We start from the raw sequence: 24328 nt of genomic DNA on the forward strand, positions 1-24328 counted from the left end.
TATTTATTATACTTCATGATTTTTGTGGTTCCAATGTATCATAGTTATAATGTATTAGGTTTTCCTTCATGCTTTATAACATGTATATCAGTGTGATTTTTAAAAATTCTAGTTCTTTAGCTTTTAATTGTCCTGTAGTCTTTTCAAACTCAGTTCATATCTTCAATCTTCTGTGTTTTCTAATTCATTTTTGGGAAAAAGCTTTTTTTGTGATATGAAAGGAATTTGTGTTAATTTTAGAAAATTTGAAAAAACACAAAAAAGCACAAAGAAAAAAATTACTTGTAATCTCCCTTTGAGAATTATATTAATAACTTAGTATACGTTCTTTGTCTTTTCTCCCTGTTTATGAATGTTATTACTTTGCAACACTTGATTCTTTACATACACAGTTAACTACTTTTCCCCTTCACTTACTATGTATTGAACATTTTCCTATGACATTAAAGTCAAGCTGTAGAATACATAATAATTTACATGGTATTCTGTACAGACATGTTATAATTTAATCCTCCATTGTTAGTTTATTTACAGCTTGCTCTTCTAAAGTGTGCTTTGATGAATGTGGATTAGTTATATCCCCTAGGTTTTTTTTTTTTTTTTTTTAGATAAAGTTCTAAGAAGTGAAAGAATTCTGAGGCTTTAGCATATGGTGATTAAGAGCATGGACTTTGTAGACTGACTGCCTTGGGTTCAAATCCTTACTTAGCTGTATACGTTTAGGCAATTAATCTTTTCTTTTTCTTTTTCTTTCTTTTCTTTCTTTGCTCCCTTCCCTACCTTCTTTCTTTTCTTTTTTCTTTTACCTTTTTCCTGCAGTATGTTTCAATTTCTTAAATTTGTATACTTCCAAGATAATGGTTTATACATAGAAAACATTTAGAAGAGTGTCTGGGACTCAAACACAGTCATTGTCGTGGTTGTCATCATTTTTATTTAAAGGATGTACATATTTGAAATATTTTTGCTATCGATTAAATTTTTCTCCTGAAAAGTTACATTAATTTGCATTCCTATCAGCAAAATATAAGAGTAACATTTTACCAGCCCTGGCCAACAACTGCTGTTATAATTGTAAAATGTAGTTATTTTTGAGGGTGTGGGACTAATTTTATAGGGACAATATATATGTTTATCTTAATCTCCAATTTTTGAATATTGATTTTGGATTTTTTTTGTCCGTTTTCATATGGGGTATTTATATTTAAGTGCTCTTTAAATATTCAAATTTTAATTAGCCCAATGTATTTTATTTGCCTTTATTTTTTCTAGTTGGCTGTTTGCCTGTTAATTTGATTTTTAGTTGTTTTATGTGTTTATGTTTTGCCTTTGTGGAACATGTGTGTAAAGGCAGTTCTTTTCCATACACTGTGCTTTTTAAAAAAATTCATTAATCTATTTTTGATAATAAGTCTCTTTATTTGTGTTGGTATAAATAAGTCTATAATTATTAAGTACCTTCTGTTTGCCAGTATAGATCTAACTTTTAAAAATAGAATTTTTATTGCAGAATAATTTTAGGTTTATGGAAAAGTTGCAAAGATGGCATAGTTACTATATATGTTCTTTACGCAGTTTTCCCTTGTTGCTGACATCCTGCATTATTACCATGGTACGTTTGTCACAACTAAGATGTCAACATTGGTACACTACTATTAACTAAATGCCACATTTTATTTGGATTTCACTAGTTTTCCCACAAGTATTCTTTCTCTGATCCAAGATCCCACATTACATTTAGTTGTCATGTTTATTACTCTCCTCTGGTCTGTGAGTTTCTCAGTCTTTCCTTGTTTTTTATTATATTGAGAGTTTGGAGGAGTACTATTCATTTGTTTCATTGACCTTTCCTCTGATGTTTTCCTGCTGGTTAGGCTGGGGTTATTTGTATCAATATAGACTCATGGGTATTTTACCACTTAAATTTTTTTAGCATTGGCCTGTCATTCTCTGTGACCCTTTGACATGATCCATACTGCTCCCTTCTTCTGCCTTTTTTAAAAAACACTTTTTTTCTTGTGTAAGATGCTCTAGGTTAATCTTCTGTATTCCCTTACCTGGCTCTGGAATCAGCCATTTCTCCAGCTACTCCTGTTTTCTTTTATTGGAGAGTGGTATGTGGAAACATACCATTGTGGAAATACCAGGGTGCGGTGCTGGGTGTGTTTTTGGGTACTGGTGTGTCACTGCTTCTAGTCCCCCTCAGTGGACAGAATTAGAAAATACTGTTTGTGCACACACACCCCTATAATTATTTATATTATATTACGGTAAACACAAGTTTGCACTGATGTCACTGATTCTAATCCAGTATCACAGGGTTCCTTCTGCCCTCCGTCCCCTTGCCTAACTGTAACATCCCCCTACAAAAGTGAGAAACCTGGCTCCCACATTTACCAGCCATTTACTTATTTGTTCAACCCCAGTATGTATGTAACATAGGAATTAACCCATATTCCTTGTGAAAAACAACTTTACCAAATCAAGCAGTGTTTATGTATATAGCTCTGCTTGCCTTTAGCCTTACAGTTTCCAGTGAAAAAGCGGTCTTCTAAAGTTACTTATATCAGTTCCTTTTCCACTCACAGTTCTGCTTTTGATGGTATGCCTAAAAGTGCATCTTACTCCAAAGATGGACTTTATATATGTATAAAAAATATATATATTCTATACGATGCATGTTTGATATATGTAATATATAATGTAACAATATGATTGCATGCAATATAATGCATGCTACATGTAATATGTATATATGGTATTTTATTTTTAGGTATTTTATTGCTTTATTTTTACCCTGAAGTCTTTTTTTTTTTTTTTAAAGACAGAGTCTTGCTATGTTGCCCAAGCTGGAGTTGCTATTCACAGACATGATCCATCATAGCACACTGTGGCCTTGAACTCTGGGCCTCAAGTCTTCCTCCAAGTAGCTGAGGTTACAGACGTGTGCCACTGCACCCAGCTATTTTTACCTTAAATTCTTAAATATGTATGTCTAAGGTTCATTTTGTCACTTAGTGTAAAGTATTAATATAACTTTTTATTTTAAACAAAAGTGCCTTATGAAAAGTCTTGATTTTTCTCTGTTGTTGAAAATACCACCTTTGTCATATTTTAAAATCTTATATCTACTAGAAGCTTTCTGTGCTTTTCTTACTCTGTTTTGTTTTCTATTCTTATTCAAGTTCCAAACATTACATAACTTTATGATAATTTCAGCATCTGGTAGATTATTCCTGTTTTTGCCTATTCATGTTCTCTTAATTTTTTAATACTTTCTTTATTCCAGGAACATTTTAGTGGACAAACCAAATGACCAATCTTCAAGATGGTCTTCAGAGAGCAACTATCCTCCCCAGGTAAGATTACATGTATCCCTTAATGCTGTTTAGAAGTCACCATTTAAATAAACACTCAATTGATACTAGTTATCTGGAATCTACTAATAGTTTATTCTCTTTTTGAGATTGTGAGGTAAATTTTTATTCTCTCTATTTTTGCTTGTTTATTAAATTTTGGAAGAATTTTTATCTCATAGGCAAATGCAGTGTGAGATTTGATGAAACATGGACTTTTACTTCTGTCTACCAGAACAGTTACGCTCAAGTTATTCTGTAAATGTTTAAGGAAATGTTAGTAAATTGAACTCTGACTCAATGACTATCTTATGGGGAAAATAAACTTAAATAGTTTATTTTATTATAATATTATTATACTTAATATTAAAATAATATTTAAATGGCATCAGGACCATGTGCTAAATTTCTTTTCCCTGGCAAGTAGTGTCTGGGGTTGACTGAATTTAAAATCAGTCTTTCAGTTATATGCGTTCAGCATTAATATTTATAATGTATTAGGCACACGTATGTCCATATCCTTGAAGAAATTAATGCTCTGCTAGGTAAAGCAAATGGGTAAATAATACTTACTTTATTTTTTAATTGTAGTATAATTCATGGAAATATATATATATATATATATATATATATATATATATATATGTATGATGTATGTATTTTTTTTTCTCTTTGCCTACCTATTTGGATCCCCTGGTGTTTACATGTTTTATTGCAAAAGACATGTCTAAAGAATATATATTTATAATTTTTGGGAGCCGCAGTGGCTCAGGCCTGTTGTCTGGTGCATAAGGAGGCGAGGCTAGGCGTTCGAGGCTAGCCTGGGCAACACAGAAACCTTTGATCTATGTTAAAAAAAAAAAAAAAAAATGGCTGGGCGCGGTGGCTCATGCGTGTAATCCCAGCACTTTGGGAGGCCGAGGAGGGCAGATCACAAGGTCAGGAGATTGAGACCATCCTGGCCAACATGGTAAAACCTTGTCTCCACTAAAAATACAAAAATTAGCTGGGTGTGGTGGCACACGCCTATAGTCCCAGCTACTCGGGAGGCTGAGGCAGGAGAATCGTTTGAACCCAGGAGGCAGAGGTTTCAGTGAGCCAAAATTGCACAACTGCACTCTAGCCTGGTGACAGAGTGAGACTCTGTCTCAAAAAAAAAAAAAAAGAATATATATTTATAATTTTTATATATAATGTAAAGAATAAGACAAATAACCTGTTTATTCATCAGCCATGTTTAGAAATGGAAAGTGACTGCTATCTTTTGAAGCCTCCTTTGAGCCCCCTCTTATATCTTTCCTCTAACCCCTCCCCAGTAACTATAATTGATGTTTTATTAAGCATTTTAAAATAATATTCCATAGATATAGCATATAAATATTTTATGATTTAATTTTTTTGGCTTTGACTTTATAAAAATAAAATATAAATTGATTCAGTCATTTATAAATTTTCTGTGACTAGCTGTTTTTTAACATGATGTTTATTAATATCGTTATATGTAATTGTAGTTTGTTCATTTTCACTACCATATAGTATTCCTGTGTATAAATATGCCAAAATGTATTTATCCATTTTGCTGATGATAGGCATTTAGGCTTTTTACAGTTCTTCGCTATTATGATACAAGCTGCTGTGAACATTCTTATATGTTGTCTCCTGGTACACATGTGTAAGAGTTTCTTTAAGGTATACATACCTTGGAGTAGAATTGTTGAATTATAGGGTAGGTATATGTGTATTGAACTTTATCAGGTAACAGAAGACTGTTTTACAAAGTAGTTGTAGAATTTATCCTCTTAATGGTTGTTTATGGAAGTTGCTGTTGGATCATGTTCTCCTCATCACTTCTATGGGTGGATTTTATATTTTGCCAGTCTAGTGGATTTTTCATTTTAACTCATTGTGGTTATAATTTGCTTTTTCCTATTTACATTAAAATCTCTTTGCATATGTTAATGGACTTACATTGTGTTTTTAATCACGCTTTTCTTGATTCACTTTTTCATTTTACTTAATTTTAGTGCTCAAATTTTGGTATGTTAGTGTTTTTCATTTGATTATTTTTATTTCTTATTAATGATCTTTTCTGAAAAAAGGAAAATTCAGTGATCATAACTGAAACTATGATAACCTTATTATTTTGAAATTGTCTTTATTTGTTATTGGACTATATTTTGAAGGCAGTAGAATTTAATACTTTTCTTAACTTTTTTGTTTGCTTATTCATTCATTAAAAAATTATTTAGTAAGCATCTATGGAGTGCCAAACTTTAGGTATTTGAATACTGTAGGGAATTAAATATTGTCTCCTCTTGATGAGCGACGGGTATTACATCAGATACCCTGAAACATTTCAATATGATAAGTCCTATAGTAGAAGTTATCTGAAGTTTTTGTAATGAAGAAGGACTAATTTGTCATGAAAATAAATACCATGCAATCTAGTTTTCTTCATTGTAGTTATTACTCAAATATAACTGGGGTTTTCTGTGGCCAGTCTCAAGGGACAACATTTTTGCCAGAAAAGAAAAAATAAAATTGAAAGCAATTTCAATGTTTACTTAGTTGTATGAGAGACTGCCATGTTGGATGGAATGGGTATAGTTTTATTTTTTATTTGTTTATTTATTTTTTTGAGACCGAATTTTGCTCTTGTCATCCAGGCTGGAGTGCAGTGGCGTAATCTTGGCTCACTGCAGCCTCCACCTCCTGGGCTCAAGTGATTCTCCTGCCTCAGCCTCCCGAGTAGCTGGGATTATAGGCGTGCACCACCACGCCCAGCTAATTTTTGTATTTTTAGTAGATACTGGGTTTCACCATGTTGGTCAGGCTGGCCTTGAATTCCTGACCTCAGGTGATCCGCCCACCTTGGCCACCCAAAGTGCTGGGCTTACAGGCGTGAACCATCATGCCTGGCCAGCATGGGTATAGTTTTCATGTATAGTTATGTAGCAAAGAGTCTTGCACTTCTAGTGGTTGTAAGCTATAATATTTCTTTCCCACTCTTGATCTGAAAGTTCCCAAATGCACTGGATAAAAAATAGATATATCCACGGCCGGACGTGGTGGCTCATGCCTGTAATCCTACCACTTTGGGAGGCCAAGACGGGTGGATCACTTGTGCTCAGGAGTTTGAGATCAGTCTGGGCAACATGGTGAAACCCTGTCTGTACAAAAAATACAAAAAGTAGTCGGGCATGGTAGCGTGTGCCTGTAGTCCGAGATACTCAGGAGGCTGAGTTGGGAGGATTGCTTGAACCCAGGAGGTCAAGGCTGCAGTGAGTCGAGATCATGCCACTGCACTCCAGCCTGGGTGACAGAGTGAGAGACTGTCTCAAAAAAGAAAAAATACACGCACGTGTGCACACACACGCACGCAAAGCTGGGACTTTTTTTTTTTTTTTTTGGAAGCTGGAACCTTAAAGCAATTCATTCTCAGGATAAGAATGAAACAGAAGAAGTCCCCACCTCCTAGGGACCGTGGAAAGAATTGCATTGACACTCAGTAGAGGAAGGGAAAATGAGGAAGAAAACTCGTCTCTGAGAGGTTATAGCTTATGTATTGGTTTTTGTTCACATTTGGTAGTCAGATTCTCATTACTTGACTATCCATGAAACCTTGTGGTATGATTTTAGTTTAAAGTGATTGTGGATGAATAGTACATTTAAGGTTCTCAGCAGAAGCAAATGCAGATCTTCTCTGAAAATAGTTACCTTTATTCTAGGCCTCAGGCATTCTCCACAAATCATTATTAGAGGAAAATTGAGCAGTACACACTCAAAGATAACTAAGTATATAGCAGAAAGTAAGATACTTTAAGAACTAGCAGAACAAATGGCAGAACCCCTTCCAGAATTTTAGATATTAGAATTAAAATTACTGAAAGATACTGGAGTTAAGTCAACTACTTATATTTAAAGAAATAAAAGAAATTGGACACTAAAAAGTGATGTGGCAGATTTGAAAAAGAACCAAATAAAACTTCTATAAATGAAAAATATAATAATAAAAGTCAGTTTTGACAAGATTTTCCACTAAGCACAGATAGAAAAGATGAAATAGAAGTCAAATTTTAAAAAATATTTTTGAAGGTAGTATATTGAAAATAAGGTAGTAAAGAGTGATGGGAATGAATAAGACCTACTATTTGATAGCACAATAGGCTGACTGTAGTCAATAATAACTATATATTTTTAAGTAACGTAAGGAATGTAGTTGGATTGTTTGTAACTTGAAGGATAAATGTTTGAGGTTAGGGGTACCCCATTCTCCACGATGTGCGTATTTCACATTGCATCCCTGTATCAAAACATCTCATGTACCCTGTAAATATATACACCTACTGTGTGCCCACAAAATTTTTTTTCAAAAGTGATGGGGCCAAGATTCAGAAGACTATGGGAATCTAAAAAGAACTACTTTGGGGCCACTTTTCTACTGAGTAGCCTAAAGAAGTTCTAAGAGATTAAGAAGCTGAAATAGCACCTTTGACAAACCCCTGGAGCCAGGGAGTTATAGATTAGAAGCTAGAATCTGGGGTGTGGTAGGGTGGTAGACTCCTCTTGCTCTGGGCTGAAGACCCTGAAGCTATGTCTGAAGAGTGAGCGTGAACCAGAAATAATCTGGCCCTCACAGGGAGTGAAGTCCAGTTTCATATCATCCCGGTACTTGAAACTGGATTAAAATAATCAGGAATTGGTAGTATCCCTAGCAATAGACCTACAGTAGAAGATATACTTTTTTAGGAAGCTGATACCCTAGGCATGTAGTTACTTTTAGTTTTTCATATTTGGTGTCTATCAAAATAGAGGGATTTACAGATAATAGGAGTTTCAGATACAAGTCTTAAAATAAGTGCCCTTGCTATGTGAAAGGAAAAAAGGAGATGAAAATTAATATTGAAAATTTTGGCAAAGAACTGAAAACTGTATTAAAAAATACCAACAAAAAATGAAAAATACAATACCCAAAATGCAAATTGCACTTATGAGAATAAAATAAGAATGTATGCAAAAGCATTTTCTGAAATTTAGTATACTTTATGTAAAGTAGCAGTATTATTATAGGCAGGTATTGCTAAGAAAATAATTGTTGCCAGTAATATAATATTGCAGATGCAAAAAGTTATTCACTTTTTAGTTTATTCTAATAAGCTGTTATGTGACCTGCTTGTTTCAAATCACTTAAGAGGATACTCATGCTGTATAAATTAGTTTTATTTAGTTTTGAATAAGGAGAAACCTTATTTCACTAAATGTTGATGTGTTTTTGAATTCTTCCCATAATCATACGGTAATTGCAAGGATTAGGATACATGTAGTAGCTACTTTGCTGCCCTTAAACTATGGCAAGTATTTTGGTTTCATATACAGTTGATTCTGGTTATTCACAGTAGTTATGTCCTATAAAGTAGTCATGAACAGTGATTTAGCAAATACTGAACCATTGCTCCTAGAAAAATACAGGGTTAGGTTCCTGTGAGTCTTTGGTTAAATATTTTCATCAGCTAATCAATGTATAATCTTGTCTTATGTATGTTTCTGTTTAAAGAAACCTTAATATAAGTATTTTTGATTCATTAACATTGAATTCACAGCCAACAGTACTATAACTCATATCATAATGAGTTTATCTAACACATGTATTTTCTCCATAAGGCATATCATTTACTTAAACTACTTTGGAAGAAGCTTATAATTGCAGTAAAGGAGTTATGATCTAACCCTTATTATGTCAATTAAAAAGACATTTGTAACTGCCTGTACATTTTAACCAACCCTAGAGAGTTTTCACCAGTCATCTTGAAAGACATGTTTTCCATGACAGTATCAGTAACTACTGTAACCACATATATGATGACAGGGAAGGGTGATATTATATCTTTAAAGCATTTATGGGATTTTCATTCATGCTACATTTACTCTACCAGCACAGATGATCCAGAATTAACAGCAATGTTTTCTCATTAAGGTCTCAAAATATTGCCCCCATCACTGTGAAAATGACTTTAATGTTTTTGTTTATACAAATTACAAATACTAAAAGTGAGAATCAAAAAGGAGATAAAAGCATAAGAAATCTAAAATAAATTAGAAATCAGCTGAATTCCATCATCCTGACCTCATCACTACCACCACCACCACCACCACTGCCATCATTTTGAAGATGATTCAGCTTAACTCTGTGCATACACTCACACAGACACATAATTTACGTAACATGTTGGTTTTATAAATGGGAATAACTTTTTAAAAGAAAATAATTGTTTTCTTTTTTTTGTCCTCTCATCTCCTTCTCTCTAGTAACCAATGCTAACAATCAGGTTTGTGCCCATTCATATCTTTATATGGGTTCATTGCATCAAATACTAATTTAAACATGTACATGCATACATCTGTATGTACTCACAAACATACTGGCAAGCGCAAGTGTCATTATTCAGGTAATAATAGTAGGATCTTGTTACCTACTTGATTTCTGTTGTATGAATATCTCACAGTTTGTTTATCCATATACCTGTTAATGAACATTGAATCGTTTTCCAATTTTTGGCTATTACAAAGATGTGCTAAAAATTAATACAGAAGTGCCTGGGTATGGTGGCTCGTGCCTGTAATCCCAGCACTTTGGGAGGTCGAGGCAGGCAGATCACTTGAGGCCAGGAGTTCGAGACCAGCCTGGCCAACATGGCGAAACCCCATATCCATAAAATTACAAAAAATTAGCCAGGCGTGGTGGCTCATGCCTGTAATCTCAGCTATTTGGGAGGCTGAGGCACAAGAATCACTTGAACCTGGGAGGCGGAGGTTGCAGTGAGCCAGGATCTTGCCACTGCACTCCAGCCAGGGCGACAGACAAGGCGAGAATCTTTCTCCCAAAAAAAAAACAAAATTAATATACAAGTCTTTGTGGTTTTAATTTGCATTTTTAAAATGATTAATGATGTTACCATTTTTTGTATGCTTGTTGCCTTCTTGACTGTTTTCTGGTGAAGTGTCTGTTCAAAAGGTTTGTCGTTTTAAAATTTGTTGTTATTGTTCAGTTTTGAGAGTTCTGTGTATGTTTTGTATTTAAGTTCTTTATCAGATTTATATATGATTTGCAAATATTTTCTTTGCATCTGTGGTTTCCCCTTCCTGTTCTCCCCACTCACTGCCCCAGCCTTCCTTCTGTTCCAATATTAGAGGGAATCATCATTAAGCATGATGCTTAGCTATAGATATTTTATTTTATTTTATTTTATTTTAGAGACAGGGTCTTACTGTGTCTCCCAGGCTGGAGTGCAGTGGTGCGATCTTGGCTCACTGCAAGCTCCGCCCCATAGGTTCATGCCATTCTCCTGTCTCAGCCTCCCGAGTAGCTGGGACTACAGGTGCCCACCACCACGCCCGGCTAATTTTTTGTATTTTTAGTAGAGACAGGGTTTCACCGTGTTAGCTAGGATGGTCTCGATCTCTTGACCTCGTGATCGACCCTCCTTGGCCTCCCAAAGTTCTGGGATTACAGGCATGAGCCACCACACCCGGCCAGCTACGGATATTTTATATATGTCCTGTGTTTCTTTGAGAAAATTTCCTCCTGTTTGAAGTTTTCTGAGAATTTCTAATCCTGAATGGATATTGAATTTTGTTGCTATTGTTCCACACCTTAAAACCTTTTTATGTTTCTCTACTTGTCCTAGAACAGAGTCCAAATTTCTTAATATGGTCACAAATTACACCTCCTTCCAGCAGAAGGTGCAGTCTCTTCTACCTCATGAGTCTTGGTTGGTCTTGTGATTTTCTTTGACCAACAGAAAAGTCTAAGAAAGTGATATTGCAACTTCTAAGCAAGGCCTGTAGAAGCTTAGAGATAAATGTGCTTGAGGAAAGCCTATTTAGCTTCTTTGAGGTTGAAAGCCCAATCCCAATTAACCCCAGCCTTCCCATTCCCCACTCCAGTTAAGCCCAGTCCCCTAGCCAATCCATCAGCTTAATACAACTACATGAATGAATCCAGCAGCTACCAATGGAAAAGCTGTCTAGCAAACCCACAGAATCATGAGAAATCATGAACCACTGTTGTTTTAAGACACTGGAGTGATTTATTACATAACCTCAGATATACATAGATATAAAATCTGGACTTTTCTAGTCTCATTTTTGTACTTCCTGTTTCTTTGCCAGTTCTTTCCATCACAGTAAATGATATCACCACTTACCCTGTTATTGAAGTCAGAAACTATGTCATCATCCTTAATGCCTCCCTCTTTTTCCCCTGCATCCAATCTGTCACCAAATCCCATCAATTGTTTCTCCAAAATGTGTGTCAAAACTGTCTACTGTTGTCCATCTCCACGCTATTTTAGTCCAAGTCTCCTTCATCTCACCTCTTTCCTGAGTTTATTGTGACAGCATCCTAACTGGTGTGCCAGTTCTTTTAATCCGCTCTCTGTAATGCACATTGTGTGCATATGTGTGTGTAATGTTAATCAGATCATAGCTTTTTGTTGTGCTTAATAGATCCCATTGAATTTATAATTCAAACTTCATGTAATTGCACAAACTGCATGATCTGGTGACTGCCTCCTCTTCATTTTCAACACATACCATTTTCTGCCCTGCCTATTAGGCTGCAACCACACTGGCATTTTAACAGCAGTACCTAGAACTAATTTTCATAAGCATTCACTACTTTTTTTTTTTTTGCCTGGCTGGCTCTGTGTAGTAGATTGAATGGTCCCTCCCCCCACCCCCACCCCTACCAAGATATGTGACATCTCAGAATGTGACCTTATTTGGAATAAAGTGTTAGTAAATGTAATTAAGGTAGGGATCTCGAGGTGAGAGCATCTTTGATTAGGGTGGCCTATAAATCCAATGACAAGTGTCCTTACTAGACACAGAAAAGACACAGATACAGGGAAGAAAGCCATGTGAAGATGGGTGGCAGAGATAGGAGTTACACTGTCACAAGCCAGAAAAAAAATCAAGAGCCACCAGATACTGGAAGAGGCAAAGAAGGATCCTTTCTGAGGTCCTTTGAAGGGAGCATGGTACTGCTGACACTGTAGTTTAAGACTTCAGGCCTCCAGAACTATGAGAAAATAAATTTCTGTTGTTTTAAAGCCATCGATTTGTTATAATTTGTTATGGAAACCCAAGGAAACTAATACACCCTATAGTACACCTATAGTTAGCTGTGTAACTATATTTCTTCATCTGTAAATTGAGGATGAAGAGAGTAACCTGTGTTCATATATTCCTCCCACTACTGCTACTACTGTGAATGAGCTAATGCATGTAAAAGTCTCAGCAATGTGCCAAATAAGAAGTTAGTGCTCACAAAATGTTAGCGTTATTTTCATTGCCATTCTTAACACCACCAGCTTAATTCTTTTTTTATTGAGGTAAAATCACACATAATATAAAGTTAGCCATTTTAAAGTATATAATTCAGTGACATTTAGTGCATTTACAGAATTGAGCAACTATCACCTCCATCTAGTTCCAAAATATTTTCATTGTCCACAAAGAAACTTCATATACCCAGTAAGGAGTATCTCCTTTTCGATCTCAGCCCAGTTTTTGACAACCACTAATCTGCTTTATGCCTCTATGCATTTACTTGTTCTGGGTAAGTCAGACTGGCTTTTGTATCTGACTTTTTTCACTTAGTATGTTTTTGAGGTTAATCCAGGTTGTAGTGTGTGTCAGTGTGCATTCCTTCATATGGCGGAATACTACATTGCACAGAAATACTGTAATTTGGCCATTCATCAGTCGACGGACATTTGGGTTGTTTCCACCTTTTGGCTATTGTGAACAGTACCCCTGTGAACATTCATGTACGACTGTTTGTTTGTATACCTTTTTTTTTTTTCCTCATTTCATTTGGGTTTATACCTAGGAGTGGACATTCTTGGTCGTGTAGTAATTCTGTTTAACTTTTTGAGGCACTGCCAAATGATTTTCCACAGTATGTGTACCGTTTTACATTCCTGCCAGCAATGCATGAGAGTTCCAGTTTCTTTACATCTTTGTCAACACTTACGGTTTTGCATTTTAAAATTATTATTATTATTGCCATCTTAGTGGATGTGAAATGGTATTTTGTGATTTGGATTTACATTTTCCTGATGACTAATGATGTTAAGCATCTTTTCATGTGCCTGTTGGCCATTTGTTTACTTTCTTTGGAGAAAGGGCTATTCAGGTCCTTTATCTGTTTTTAAATTGGGTTGTTTGTCTTTTTGTTGTTAAATTGTAGGGGCATTTTTAATATATTCCAGATACCAGACTCTTATCAGATATATGATTTGCAAATATTTTCTCCCATTCTATAGGGTGTCTTTTCACTTTCTTGATAGTATCCTTTGATACTAAAATTTTAGTTTTGATGAAATCCAATTTATTTTATTTTGTTTGTACTTTTGCTGTCATATCTAAGAATCCGGTGCCAAATCCAGAGTCATGAAGATTTGCCCGTAGTTTTTGTCTAAGATGTTTAAAGTTTTAGCTCTTACATTTAGGTCTTCAGTCTTTTTTTTTTTTTTTTTGAGCTAGAGTCTTACTCTGTTACTCAAGCTAGAGTGCAATGGCGTGATCTTGGCTCACTGCAACCTCCATCTCTAGGGTTCAAGCAATTCTCCTGCCTCAGCCTCCTGAGTAGCTAGGATTACAGGCGACCGCCACCATGCCTGGCTAATTTTTGTATTTTTAGTAAAAACGGGGTTTCACCATGTTGGCCAGGCCGGTCTCAAACCCCTGACCTTGTGATCCGCCCACCTCGGCCTCCCAAAGTGCTGGGATTACAGGTGTGAGCCACCGCACCCGGCCAGGTCTTCAGTCCTAAAGGATTGATGTTGGATCAGTTTTTATCCATTTTGAGTTGATTTTTGTGTGTGATAAGAGGCAGGACCAGCAAGTTTATTCTTAACCGTCTTTATCACCTATATTATCCAATATCGTGAAGCATGACGTCTCTCCAACAAAACATCTGATTGGTTTTTCTAAATAGCTTTTCCAACATGTGTTCAAGGAGTGGTAATTTTCTTCTTAATTTTTATAATAGAGAACAGTCTGCGTGATGTTCTCTATTTAATTGATCCCGTTTTATCCAATGTGTAATAGGAAAATGAGCTACATTAGACGTATCTAGAGTAGATTTGGGTTTCAAATTTGTAAACTTGGCAGGGTTGATTAGTAAATCTTTGCTTCTACATCTAAAAATTTTAGTGCCGCTTTCAAACATTGGTTTAGTTATTGAAGTAGAGTCCATAGAAATATGTAATTGTTATTTTTGTATTCTAATCTTGTTTTATTTGGTTTTGCATAGTTTGGTTATATCTTTTATTGAATACTGTTCTTTGATTAGAAGTTATCTCACTAGTTCTTTTTTTCCTCCCTTCACCTACAGTGTTGGGGATAATGTAGTTTTTGGGATCTACTGGCGTGAAAAGTGGTTCTGGTGGGATAACCTTTATAAGGCTGTTATGTACTATTCTATAGCTTTAAAAAAATCTGCTAGTACAGGATGGACAAGGATGGACCTTATACATTCTTCTGTTAACTGGCAATAGTTTTAAAGTTGTCTAACATTTGTTTTAAACAGAAGAGGATATAATTTGGTCGTTTCTTTTTTTAGTACTTGATTCTAAAGCTCGAAAGGCCTGCTATAGTTCAGAATATCACATTTGGAAAATATGAGAAAACTCATGTTTGCAATTTGAAGAAATTTAAAGTCTTTGGTGGAATGAATGAAGAAAATATGACAGAGCTGTTGTCCAGGTGAGTTATGGTTATGTTGAAGAGAGCTGTCTTCTAAACAAAACGTAGTCTTAGTCTTTTTGTAGCTAATCTGCATGGTTTGATTTTTCTTTCAAAGGAGAAAAGAGTATTCCTTCTATTCTATCCCTAATGCCTTAGTTTAATACTGTGGCTTGAGTTAGCTTTCTTTTTTATTTTTATTTTTTAACCAACAGACCCTAGTTAATATTTTTACCAAAGAAGAAACAAACTTTTTTGTTTCATCCTTTTTTAACTGTATTTTTGAGCTGTTAATGACTTCAGAAATATTTTCAGCTTTAATGAAATTTTTTGCTATAATCTTTGCTGTAAAAAAAAATACAGGCTCTATCCAAAACACTAAGATTAATTGCCCTAATCCAGAAGCAATATTCTAGTGGTTTACTGTAAGTTGGAGACTAGAAAGAGGAATGTTTTATAAATTGAAAGATGCGTGACTACGCCAAGCACAGTGCCTGTCACTTGGAAGGAGCTCAGTAAATTTGAGTTTTAATAATATTTGACCACCGGGAATGAAGGTGTTAATTTGCTGCCCAGCAAATGAAAAATCAGATAGCTAATGGAATGGACAAATGAAACCATGGAGATTTAGAATATATTTGTGATGGCTGGGTGTGGTGGCTCATGCCTGTAATCCCAGAACTTTGGGAGGCTGAGGCAGGTGGATCACGAGGTCAGGAGTTCAAGACCAGCCTGGCCAGCACAGTGAAACCCTGTCTCTAATAAAAATGCAAAGATTAGCTGGACATGGTAGCGGACGACTGTAGTCCCATCTACTTGGGAGGCTGAGGCAGGAGAATCACTTGAACCTGGGAGTCAGAGGTTGCAGTGAGCCAAGATCGCACCACTGCACTCCAGCTGGGGTGAAACAGTGAGACTCTGTCTCAAAAACAAAAACAAAAACAAAAACAATATATTTGTGACATGGTATGGCCCATTAACATAATATTTTATATAAGCAAATACTCTATACTGTATTTAAGTCATGAAAGTATTTCAGGAAATGTAAAGCAACCTGAGGGTGAGTGACTTTCCCATAAATCATTGTGTCAGTCCTAGTTGTTTAAGTAGAGAGGTGATATCCATTTATTTTTATTTAGGATAAAGCAGATGCTATTAAGCCAACAGAGTAAGGTTGGCTTTGAAAATTTGTTGAACTATAAAAGAAACATTGGCATCTCAGTCAGAATTAAATAACTAAATTCTTTGGCGTATTCTAATATGTGGTTTTAAATTGTCAGATTTGACTGTGAATTATTTTTGAATTTCATTCTTACCGTTGAAAATTTTATGTTATATTCAGTTATCCATTCAGGACACTAGGCCCTGTCACACATTTTTAAACACCGTAGCTACATTCTTTATAATACTGAACATTTTTCATTAATCCTCGTATAATTAAGAGAATCCAGTTATAATGCTGTTGATTTGAATGTACCGGTTTTGACCTATATGCCCATGTTCAACTACTTGTTTATATTGTCTTGGTCATAATATTTTGAGCATGAGTTTAAACTTAAAACCTGAGTGTGCATTAATTCGTGTTCTAGTGCATTTACTAAATTATGAAGTCAGATTTAATAGCCTTATTTTTTTCCCACAGTGGCTTAAAGAATGATTATAACAAAGAAACATTCACCTTGAAGCATAAAATTGATGAACAGATGTTCCCTTGTCGATTCATTAAAATAGGTAAGATTTTAGCATTCTGAAATAGAAACAAATTCTTGATATCATCAGTCAGCAAACTATAGCCCATAGACCAAATCCTGCAGGCCTCTTGTTTTTTTAAATACAATTTTATGGGAATATTGCTGCGCTGGTTTGTTTACATATTGTCTGTATCTGCTTTTGTGCTACAAAAGTAGACTTGAGTAGTTGCAAGAGACCACAGAGCCCCTTAAATTTACTCTTTGGTCCTTTACAGGAGAAGTTTGCTGACTTCTGCTTTATATAAATTCATTACTAAGTGGCAGTTATTTCAAGTGGAATCTTTTCCAAATGTTTTCTCATTTGAAAGTTTTCTTAGATTTTATGGGATCTAGTGATTTGATTGCCTTAATTTTATGGAAGGTTTATCACTTATACTAAAACAATAATATTCTAAAACCAAATACTGATAAAATCCTTAAGGCAGTATATTATGGTTATTATCAGTTGTGTTCTTTTATTTTATTTATTTATTTTTTTTAGTTAAATGCTGGTCAAACCCATTAAATTGATTTAATGACCCATCGATAGGTTGCAAATCACTGTTTGAAAAATATTACCTTAAGGCATGTATTTATTTAGCAAGTATTTTAGCTTAAGAAAGTATTTATAATGCATCCTCAAAATTAGTATTTTTCAGGTGATTTTGTTTCCTATAGGATTTATTATTTAGAAGGTAGGGAAATTGAGCAATTAAATCCTGGCTAACATGGTGAAACCCCATCTCTACTAAAAATACAAAAAAAAATTTAGCTGGGCGTGGTGGTAGGCGCCTGTAGTCCCAGTTACTCGGGAAGCTGAGGTGGGAGAATGCTGTGAACCCAGGAGGCAGAGTTTGCAGTGAGCCAAGATCATGCCACTGCACTCCAGCCTGGGAGACAGAGCGAGACTCCATCTCCAAAAAAAAAACCAAAAAAAAAATACTTCTAATTTATAACCATGTTGCATACTTTTGAAAATATTATATTGATATGGGGATTAAAGTGAATTAGATACTTTGAAGAATAATAATAAAAGCCAGAGTCCACATTTTGATTTGGGAGAATAATTACTCTTTTGGAGCAAACATAGTCATTGTTTGCCAATCTATCAAGAGTTGCTGCCATTTTGTTTTGTGACTCAAACAGTTCTGTAGGGCAAAAGAATATTTGAGGTCTTAAGAAAAACTGCTTATATACAGAAACTGTTTTTGGAACAATTGGATTCCAGTATGTCACTTTGTAGTAATTATAGTTTCTGTTGTTATAATAAATACTTATAAATTAAAACCTATATTCTGTTTTCTTATAAGAATTTATGAGCAAGCAAATTTTAAAAATAAATTTAACTTTCGGTTATTTACTTCTTTTGCACTGGGTAATGTTTTCATCAGTATTTAGAGTTATCAGTTCCTAAAGACCTTTGCATAGCTTTAACAATTTTATGATTTTATGTTGCAAGTATACAAGCAGTGGAAATTGGAACCTTTTCCAGCCCTGTCAGCCTTTTTTCCCCTTTCTTTTCTTTTTTGCTGAGTATTTGAATATGTGCACTTAAAAAATTTCCCCCCAGCTTTACTAAGGTATAATTGACAAATAATAATTATATATATTTATGGTTTACAATGTGATGTTTTGACATATGAATACATTGTGAAATTATTAAATCAAGCTAATTAACATATCCCTCACCTCACATACTTAACATTTTTTTATGGTGAGAACATTTAAGATCTACTCTCTGAGCAATTTTCAGTTATTACTATAGTCACCATGCTGTACAGTAGATCTCCAGAACTTATTCTTCCTGCTTGACTGAAACTTTTTACCCTTTCACCAACAGCCACGCATTTCTCTCATCACCTTTTTAATTATAGGGCATAATGATGTCTTTTACTTGATCTAGGGTTAGTTTAATGGTATTTAGGCAAAATGTTAATTGGAGCTTTCCAAATAATAGTAGACACTTATTAGCCCATTTTCTATTTAGGATATTAATATATAGATAACTTAGTATGTCTTACTTTTCTCTTAAAATATGTTAATACCGGTCAGCAGTGTATTTGCTTCCCAACCCTTTCCCAAGCATTCTCTTAAGAACTTTTTTTTTTAAGTAATATAAGGAAAATATGGAACTAAAAGGCCGTATGTTAGGTCATATTTTTAGTTTGTCATATTTTCTTCAAAAGTTATTCCAGTAAAGGACTTGAATGATGTATAGCTCTCTTTTGATGTTAGTTTAGCACAGACGTTTATTTCATTTAGGTAAATCGTTAGAATTTGACTTAAAAAAAGCCTTTGAGTATTTTACATCTGTGTTCTATAGTGACATGTTTGAAAGATCTTGCTTTATTTAAAAAACAAGTTAATGCTTAAACAGCAAAATTTCTCAATTTAGTCAGCCTTCAATTATTCACAGTAATGGAGGGGAACAGAAGCAAGGCTAACACAATGGCAGATAATCTCCAAATTGTTTATTGACATGTAACTATAATAATTTTCATTTATAATGAATGTAGCTTATTAAGCAAATTGAAGTAAGTTTGGTCATAAATTGTTAACAAGGAAAATAGCCCACATTTCTACTGTGTGGCAGGGGTTAACTTTTAAGATCTGTTGTGGATAATTCAGAGTACCAGTAAAGCTGAACTGATGTCATTGGACTGCCTTCCTTCAGGAAAGTTTTACTTTCCTTTCTTAAGTTACCTTTTGTATAAAATGAGGATGTTAATGCTTTTTCTGTCTAATGGTAGGATAGGTAGCTATATTGGATATTTTCTTGAATTCTGTTCCAGTTTGTGGATCTGTGGTTTTAATTTAAGAGTACATTTATGGAAGAAATGATTGCATTTTGGATATCTCTTTTGCACATTTTCGTACTTATATTTTTAAAGTTTGTGTTTACATGCCTTCTTACATGTAGTATTCTAGGGACTTTGATGGGACTTAGTGTAGAAGGACAGTTGGCCTTAGAAAGAAGCTTGGTTTTAGATAAGACCTAGAGGTGAAAGGAAAATTTAGTAACAGAGGTGAGTTATTAATTGGGAGACTGGATTCCAGAGGGCAAGTTAAAGTTTGGGAAGGGAAAGCTCAGCAGGAGATTAGATCAGAGGAAAGTAAACATAAAATGGGTTGAGGGTATTGGTTACAGATGGCTCAAAGGGTTTACATTCTGATTTATAGCCACAATAACAGCTGTATGAGGAAATCAGGGGTAGGTGAGGGCAAAAAGAGGTACAGGGTCTTGGAAGGATTCAGGGGGAGTCTTGGTTTTTGGTAAATGGAGAGATGTGGATTTTTGTAAAGGAGTCAGCTGCAGCCTGGATGATTGTGGAGACTTCAGAGAGCGGCTTTAACTCTGGCTGGATGCAGCATGAAATCTGAGCATGAAGTCTGGGTATTAGTTCCAGGAAGCCCTTTAGGAGAGCATGTGGAAAAGTGACATTTTAGAAGTATACTATTAAGAGGAAAATTAATATAATAATAATAGATAATAACAGCTAACATTTATTGAACACTTAGTATGTGCCAGTTACTGTGCTAAGTATACTTATGTCATTAAATCTGTAGTAGAATAGTAGATGCACTCTTTCAGAATAGTTAATCTTGAATTTTTAGGATCTCTCAGAACCTCTTTTTTTTTTTTTTTTTGGGAGGTGGAGTTTCACTCTTGTTGCCTAGGCTGGAGTGCAATGGCACAATCTCGGCTCACCACAACTTCCTGCCTCCTGGGTTCAAGCGATTCTCCTGCCTCAGCCTCCTAAGTAGCCGTGATTACAGGCATGCGCCACCATGCCCGGCTAATTTTGTATTTTTAGTAGAGACGGGGTTTCTCCATGTTGGTCAGACTGGTCTTGAACTCCCGACCTGAGGCGATCCACCCGCCTTGGCCTCCCAAAGTGCTGGGATTACAGGCGTGAGCCACTGCGCCTGGCCTAATTTTTTTTTTTTTTTTAAGAGGCAGAGTCTTGCTCTGTTGCTCAGGTGGCACAATTAGAGCTCAGTGCAACCTCCAGTTCCTGGGCTCAAGCCATGTTCCGGCCTCAGCCTCCCTAGTAGCACACCACCACACCTGGCTAATTTTAAAAACAATTTTTTTGTAGAAACTGAGTCTTGCTGTCTTGCCCAGGCTGGCCATTTTATGAAAAAAGGTGACACAGGGATGTTGATTATATTCATGTCTGATTGTCCAATGGGGAAAACTGATGACTGAATCCTAGAATACAAACTGCTAGCCTTGGGATATGTATTAGGAGTTTCTAATTCTTTTATTTGATGAGGGAGGCATCTTTTATCAGGGAACAAAGAACACGTGCCTGGAGCTTTAATTCACTTTTAGATTTCTTAGTGTTCTAATATGCATTATTAGTATTGTTAATGCTACCAAAAATCACTGGCGTTTGAAGTGAGTGGACATCATTCTGCTCATTTTTTACATACCCTTTTAGTCTGTTGAAAATTAATTATATTGTTTATTCATCTGTAATATATATGCCCATTGGCAAGATAACTTCATGATTTACCTCCTTCCTCTAAAGGTATTCTTTAAAGGTATTAAAAATTATAACTAATTTTATTCTAGAAATATTTCTATTGGACCATTGGGTAACAGATTAAATTTCACTGCAAGTGTTTTAAAAGGTTTTTGTTTTGTTTTGTTTTGTTTTGTTTTTTAAGAGACAGGGTCTTTCTCGGTTACCTAGGCTAGAATTTAGTAGTGTGGTCATAGCTCACTGTAACACTGAACTCCTGGGCTCAAGTGATCCTTCATCTGGCCTCCCAAGTAGCCAGGACTACAGGCACATACTATCATGCCCAGCTGATTTTTAATTTTTTTTTGTAGAGATAGGGTCTCACTATATTTCCAGGCTGGTCTTGAACTCCTGGGCTCAAATGATCCTCTTGCTTCTGCCTCCCAAAGTGTTGGGATTACAGACATGAGCCACTGCACCAGGACCAATAAATGAATTCTTAATGAGACTTGGACCTGGAAATCTCTAATATTTTATGTCTGGTGACATATATAGACTATATTCTTGGTGCTTTTAGTTTAGAATCATTATTTTATTCTGACTCTTATACTACTAGATGGTTATTGCTATGTGATTTAGTAGATAAACTTTTAAATGACACTGCTACATAAAGAAACACTAAAACAATAAAGATAATTTAATATTTGTTGTTAAAAAAAAACTTTTTGAAATGTGTGTTGTTTACATACATAAACAGAAAGGCATATTAAATATCCCAGCATTCCTTCATACATCCTTATGGCTGGTTGCTACTGCCTGTGTTTTTATTCACACAGCTTCCTTTATATCAGTGGTCCCCAACCTTTTTGACACCAGCGACCAGTTTTGTGGAAGACAGTTTTTCTGTGGACCCAGAAGTTGGGGCAGGGTATGGTGGAGAGATGGTTTTGGGATGAAACTTTTCCATCTCAGATCATCAAGCATTAGATTCTCATAAGGAGTGCACAACTTAGATCCCTTGTATTTGCAGTTCATGATAGAGTTTGCAGTCCTTTGAGAATCTAATGCCAACGCTGATCTGACAGGAGGCAGAGCCCAGGCAGTAATGCTCCCTTAACACACTGCGCACCTCCTGCCATGCGTCTGGGTTCCTAACAGGCCAGGGACCTGTACAGGTTTGGGCCTGGGGGTTTGGGACCCCTGTTTTAGATGACAAAAATATATAAAAGTATCATACCCCATACATTTTCCTTATTCAGTCGGATATTGGAAATCATTACGCCTGGTATCAGCTATTCTGGATATTCTATTTTGATGCTTCATCAAAACTCTACAAATGTTAGTTTCTTAAAGATAGTTGCATTATTGATTCTGAAACTGCATCAGTGAATCTGTTGTTACATTAAAATTCACTGGTCTATCTTGGACTTTTTACCCAGTGGTCTGTCTTGGACTTTTTACCCAGGTGTGATTTTGTAACATTCATTGGTTATTTAGAAAATATGGTTCACTGAATTACACAGATCTCCCAAATGTTGAAACACTTCATTATGTAATATTTTAAAAATCACATTTATTAATATCACATCTAATCTCATTTAAAAAAATCTAAGTGTTGGGAATCAGTTAAGCTCACAGTGGTGGGTACTTATCTTCCAAAATTCTAATTTTTCTCTTGAAAGCTTGGTTTTTATCCTTGACAGCAAATATCGTTAAGTATTTTCCTTGAAATAACATGTAAATGTTTGGCAAATACCCAAATCTGAATAATCATAGGTTGTCTGTTTTTCTTTCAAGAATAAAATGGCATTCCATGAAAAATAAATTGATTTTTAAACTCACAACTTAAATAATTGTACAGGTCCTTTCCTTGAGATAACCATTGTGGTTTGGTACACAACAAAAATGCTTTATATGCAAATCTCATTTTGTCACACAGGATACTAGACAGATGTGTACTTGATGGGAATTTAATAAAATTAATTTTTCTGTGCCATTGGTAAAAATTATTTTTATTTTATTTTATTTTATTTTATTTTATTTTATTTTATTTTATTTTACTGCCAGTGTATGGTGGTGAGGCATACAGTGCACCTTGTACTTACTGAGCACTAATAGTACTTTTTGGTGCCATTAGTTTGGTACCAAGGTGCTAGCAGTTTTACACACCATTGCTTTTGTACCATTAGTGCAATGTTGCTATTATTAAAAGGCTAGAAAAGTGTTTATTATGTTATTTTGAAAAATAGTTGTTTTGAAAAATAACTAGTGTTGTTATTAAAAAAAAAAGTAGTTTTGACTACGTGGGACCTCTGGAAAGACCATTGGGATTTTGATTGACATGATGTTAAATTTATAATTAATTGGAGAGAGCTACACATTTACAATATTGAGTTTTCCTATATAGGAACATAGTATGTTCTTTCATTTATTCAATTATTCACTAAAATTTTATATTTTCTTATAAATATTGCGTATTTTAAGTTTATTCTGAAGTATTTTCAGCTTTTTGCCATTATAAATAGGACTTTTTTGAGGTATATTTTCTAATTGGTTATTGTAGGTATAGGAAAAGTTGATTTTTGTGTGTTTACCTTGTTTACAAATAAAAAGTTTTTCAATTGAATATATATATATATTTTTTTCCACTGAGACACAGTCTTATTCTGTCGCCCAGGCTGGAGTACAGTGGTGTCATGGCAGCTCACTGCAACCTCCACCTCCTGGGTTCAAGTGATTCTCTTGCCACAGCCTCCCAAGTAGCTGGGATTATAGGCGCACGCCACCATGACTGGCTATTTTTTCTATTTTTAGTGGAGACAGAGTTTCACTGTGTTTGCCAGGCTGGTTTTGAATTCCTGGCCTCAAGTGATCCTCTTGCCACGGCCTCCCAAAGTGCTGGGATTACAGGCTTGAGCTACTGCTCCTGGCTCTCTTGAATTTTTTTAGGTAGACAGGTCATCTTTAAATTACAATTCGTTTTTCTTAATTTGTTTGTTTGTTTCCTTATTGCACTGGTTGA

At 35.1% G+C, this 24328-nt stretch overlaps 1 protein-coding gene across 7 annotated transcripts in view, besides 1 other annotated feature; it reads left to right on the forward strand.

Moving 5' to 3' along the window:
• MKLN1 (muskelin 1) overlaps positions 1–24328 on the forward strand; it is a 386539-nt gene that overhangs the window by 262041 nt on the left and 100170 nt on the right. For 6 of the 7 annotated variants that reach the window (NM_001145354.2, XM_047420401.1, NM_001321316.2 and 3 more), the window contains 3 exons: positions 3290–3359; positions 14986–15128; positions 16750–16838. In NM_001145354.2, the coding sequence (NP_001138826.1) occupies positions 3290–3359; positions 14986–15128; positions 16750–16838 (302 nt within the window). Of the gene's footprint in view, positions 1–607; positions 1613–3289; positions 3360–14985; positions 15129–16749; positions 16839–24328 lie in introns of those variants that run through there. The other variant, XM_047420402.1, reaches the window with a different exon arrangement.
• Positions 14070–14243: a silencer, noted in NCBI's record as "fragment chr7:131070963-131071136 (GRCh37/hg19 assembly coordinates)". NCBI's record gives its function as "represses an EF-1alpha promoter that drives an FKBP-Casp9 reporter gene in an ReSE screen in K562 erythroleukemia cells {active_cell/tissue: K562}" and the evidence as "EXISTENCE:reporter gene assay evidence [ECO:0000049][PMID:32094911]".

The sequence above is a fragment of the Homo sapiens genome, chromosome 7, assembly GCF_000001405.40.
Source record: "Homo sapiens chromosome 7, GRCh38.p14 Primary Assembly".
Classification (NCBI taxonomy): Eukaryota; Metazoa; Chordata; class Mammalia; order Primates; family Hominidae; genus Homo; species Homo sapiens.